A 4485-nucleotide genomic window follows, 5' to 3' on the forward strand; every position below is an offset into this window, starting at 1 on the left:
GTTATAATTAAGTTCTACAGGGAACTTAATTATAACTTCCTAAGGGAAGGGGAAGCTGGGTGGAGCGCAGAGCACACACCTAACCCACCCCAAGGTAAATTAAAAGGATATGGTACCACCATATCCTTAAAGCCATAATGGATGGAGGGTGGGAGCAGTGCTGCCAGGCCTCTCCAGCTGTGTAGTGTGCCAACCTAGCCAGACCTCTCCTGGGCCCTGGGTTTGGTCTGAAGACCCTGTGCGGGAAGGCACTGCTCTGCCCTAGGGATAGAAGACTTGGCCTGGGGCTGGGCGTTAGGATACCAGGGTTCCAGTCCCTGCCTTGTCACTCACTTTGTGACCTCGGACAAACACCTCTCTGAGTCTCAGTTTCCTCATGAGGTGTTAGGCCCTAGATATCTACAAAGGCCCTCCCAGCTCTTCATGTTCCATTTTTTTTTTTTTTTTTTTGAGACGGAGTCTCACTCTGTCACTCAGGCTAGAGTGCAGTGGTGCGATCCTGGCTCATTGCAACCTCCACCTCCCAGGTTCAAGTGATTCTCCTGCCTCAGCTTCCCATGTAGCTAGGACTACAGGTGCACGCCACTATGCCTGGCTAATTTTTGTATTTTTAGTAGAGATGGATTTTCACCATGTTGGCCAGGCCAGTCTTGAACTCCTGACCTCAGGTGATCCACCCACCTCAGCCTCCTAAAGTGCTGGGATTACAGTCCTGAGTCACCATGCCCAGCCTTTTTTTTTTTTCTGAGACAGAGTTTTGTTCTGTCGCCCAGGCTGGAGTGCAATGGTGCTATCATGACTCTGCAACCTCTGCCTCCTAGGTTCAAGTGATTCTCCTGCCTCAGTCTCCTGAGTAGCGGGGACTGTAGGTGTGCACCACCATGCCTGGCTAACTTTTGTACTTTTAGTAGAGTTTGGGTTTCACCATGTTGGTGAGGCTGGTCTGGAACTCCTGACCTCAGGTAATCCACCTGCCTTGGCCTCTGCTGGGATTACACGTGTGAACCATTGCGCCCAGCCTTCATGTTCTCATTCAAGTGAATGGTTTGGAGAAGTGAGAGAGGAGCTGTATACAAAAGTCCCCCTTATCCGTGGGGGAACATGTTCCAAGACCCCCAGTGGAGGCCTGAAACCATAGGTAGTACTGAACCATATTGTTTTTTCCTATACATACAAACCTATGATAAAGTTTAATTTATAAATCAAGCACAGTAAGACATTAACAATAAAATAGAACAAGTATAACAATATACTGTAATAAATAGTATGTGAATGTGCTCTCTCTCAAAATATCTTACTGTTCTCTAGATCTTAGCAACCTCAGCATTATTTCCTAAATCAAAAATCTTCACCTTTTCACATAAAGGAACTTTATGGTTTCTCATTGGCATATCCGAATTGTCACATCGCTACCATTGCACTTTAGGGCCTTTGAGAGGGGTCTCACTGTTGTGGAGGCTGGAGTGCAGTGAGGTGATCACAGCTCACTGCTGCCTCAAACTCCTGGGCTCAAGAGATCCTCCCACCTCAGCCTCCTAAGTAGCTGGGACTACAGGCAAGCCACCATGCCCAGCTAATTTTTTTTTAAGAGATGGGGTCTTGCTATGTTGCCCAGGCTGGTCTTAAACTCCTGGCCTCAAGGGGTCCTCCTGCCTCGGCCTCCCAAAGTGATTACAGGTATGAGCCACCACACCTGGCCCACTATTAAATAACATAAGGCTTACTTGAACACAAGCACCGTGATAACTCAATGGTCAATTTGATAACCAAGATGGCTACTAAGTGACTAACAGGAGTAGTTAGTCTGGGAACAGAGTGGAGTCTGAGAAAGAGCAAACTGCCTTTAAAGATTTATGGTGTGAACAAAATGGGCTCTCTCCTCAGGTGACCTAAGGTTTCCCAGGCATTGACTTTTTTTTTTTTTCCTGGAAAAAAAGCAGCAGCTAATTCTGAGTCCTCCCTCCTGAGCCCCTGGTAGAGTGTTCTCTCCATGGAGCCCGGCTCCCCCCTCGGAGCAGGACAAACAGCCCTGAACACCCCTGCCTCCCTGTGGCTGCCGGCTCTGTGGTCCTGGGCAAGGCTGACCTGAGACTTGGGGGACGCCAGAACTGTGTGCCCTCACGATGCTCAGCCACCCATGCTGTTCATCCCCTGCTCCCCACCCAAAGACCTCCACATTTCTCCTACTGTCTCCTTCCAACCTGCTCCTCCTCCTCTCCAGCCAAACCCCTCCACTGTTACCTCCCCCAGTAACTGGCACTTGGCTGAGGACTCAGCTTCCCCACAGCCCTCTCCAGCGCAGGCTATTCACCTTCTCGCACCCTTCAAGGTCAGGATAAGCGGCCTCCTCCCTCCGCAAGGCCATGTCCACACAGTTTCCCCTCCACTCTCATCCCATGCTCACCTTCCTTCTGGTTACTCCCCCGTGTGCAGTGGCATTTTCGCCACCACCACCCTGGGTGGCCTTCCCTTGACCTCATCTCCAAAGACCTTCCCCTCCACTCCATTTCAGCCGCACACTCCCACGGGCAGAACCTCTTCCTGACCCCAGGAATTCAGGTATTGCACGCCCTCCTCATAAGCTCCCACCCTTCCGGCCCAGTGACTCCCATCACGCTGGCACGTGTTCCTCAGCAGGCCTCCACTGTCTCCCTGTCTTACAGCCCCCTTTGGCCTCACCTCTCCCTCTCCCCCTACCTAGCTTGAACTGCAACCTTCTGCACCTCAATCACTCTTCTTCAGCTCTTCAAAGCCACCTTTCGCTTTTCTGAACCCAAACTCTGTAGGGGTCCAACAGCCTTCTTCTGGGTAGACCCCGCACTAGAGAAATGCAAAGCACACAGCCTAAGAGATTGGGGCCTCCGGGTCAGCGGCCCCCCACCTCAGCTGGGCCTTCAACACTGCCATAATCCCTCTGTCCTAGCCCACAGCGCCCCAAGGGAAGGGGAAGCTGGGCGGAGCGCAGTGCACCCACCTAACCCACCCCAATCCTTCCATTCCCTCCGCCTCCTCCAGGGCTTTGAGCCGCATTTCCTGCTCTTCTCGAGTAGGGGTAACCTCTCCCACTGTCAAAACTAAACTAGCTCAAGTCTTTCTCACCTGCAAAATAAACTCTCGAGTGCATCTCTCTCCAGCTACTGCCCCATGTCTTCTCCCCTTCGTGACCAGCTGTCTACACTTCCTGCCTCCATTTCCCCACTTTCTTACTCCCTGGCTCCTGCCCCCACGACACAACTGTTCCCCACAGGGCCACAGGCGGGCATCACTCAGTGTTGACAGGCTGCCCCTCCCTGTGACATAGCCCCCTGCTAGTACGCTCCTATCTCAGTCCCCTCCTCCCATGACCTGAGGCTGGAGCTCCCCCAGGATCTCTCCCAGGCCCTCTGCTCGCCATCAAAGGCGGATGCCTCACAAGCTTACGACTCCAGACAGGCTCACCCAACTGCCTCCTCCACCCAACGCTGCAGCCCACTCAAGGTCCACGTAGTCCAAGCTGCATTCCTTCCTCGCACTCCCTTGCCCTGTGTCCCCTCTTAGCAAATGGCAGCCTCGGCGATCCTGCCCCGAGACAGGCCTGCGCCCAGCGTGGAGATGAACATCAGTATTTGCTGAACGTGTAAACGAATCCTTGACCTTCCCTCATGCTCCACAGCCGGTGAGGATTCCTGTCCATTTTACTGCCTCCTACGTCCCTCGAGTCCTCCCCTCTGCTTCTTTGTTCACCGCGGCCAGCTGCCTCCCCAGACCCGCAACCCCGGCTGGGCCGGGAACCTGCACCGCGGCGCTCGTGCCCCGCTCTGCGACCCCTGCTCCGTGACGGCCGCACTGCACCGGGGTACCGCGGCCCAGCACAGGCGCTGGTCACTAGTACACGAACTAGCTAGGACTACAGGTGCACACCACCACACCTGGCTAATTTTTTATTTTTTGTAGAGATAATGTCTTACTAAGTTACCCAGGCTGGTCTTCTGGGCTCAAGCCATCCTCCTGCCTCGGGCTCCCAAAGTGCAGACATTACAGGCATGACCCACCGTGCACAGCGTCAGCTTTATTTTTTTAATGCTGACTTACTGCAGAAGGCCCAAGGGCCAGTGCAGTTTTCATACTGCTGTTGTAGTGGCGAACGGAGCCACGAGGGAAGGGAGCGCCGCCGGCAGCTGCCGGGACACCAGGATACCACGCGGCCAGCACCGAAACGCTAGGCTCGCGCTCACAACCGCAATCTACACTGAGTAGCCGCGCGCCGAACGGCGTGACTAAGCCCCGCCCACACGGCGCTCCTGGCGGCCAATGGAAATGGCTTACGAGACGCCTTCTCCACGCGCTATACTTATACGGACCAATGGGTGCGCCCTGTGGGGAGTGCCGCCCCCTGTCCACGAGCCTCCTCTTCTCGCCAGCCAATGGAAGCGGTCTGCCTAGCCCTCGCGGGGGCAAGGCGGCGACCGAGGCGCGTGGGTCTGGGAAGGCGCGCGGATTTGGCCC

At 54.4% G+C, this 4485-nt stretch overlaps 2 annotated features.

Moving 5' to 3' along the window:
• Positions 2765-3590: an enhancer, noted in NCBI's record as "H3K27ac-H3K4me1 hESC enhancer chr17:26644505-26645330 (GRCh37/hg19 assembly coordinates)". NCBI's record gives its function as "activates a minimal SCP1, AML or CMV promoter by ChIP-STARR-seq in naive H9 embryonic stem cells {active_cell/tissue: H9 hESC(naive)}" and the evidence as "EXISTENCE:reporter gene assay evidence [ECO:0000049][PMID:30033119]".
• Positions 3810-4069: an enhancer, noted in NCBI's record as "active region_11920". NCBI's record gives its function as "activates an Ori minimal core promoter by ATAC-STARR-seq in GM12878 lymphoblastoid cells {active_cell/tissue: GM12878}" and the evidence as "EXISTENCE:reporter gene assay evidence [ECO:0000049][PMID:35858748]".

Source organism: Homo sapiens, chromosome 17 (assembly GCF_000001405.40).
Source record: "Homo sapiens chromosome 17, GRCh38.p14 Primary Assembly".
Taxonomy (NCBI): Eukaryota; Metazoa; Chordata; class Mammalia; order Primates; family Hominidae; genus Homo; species Homo sapiens.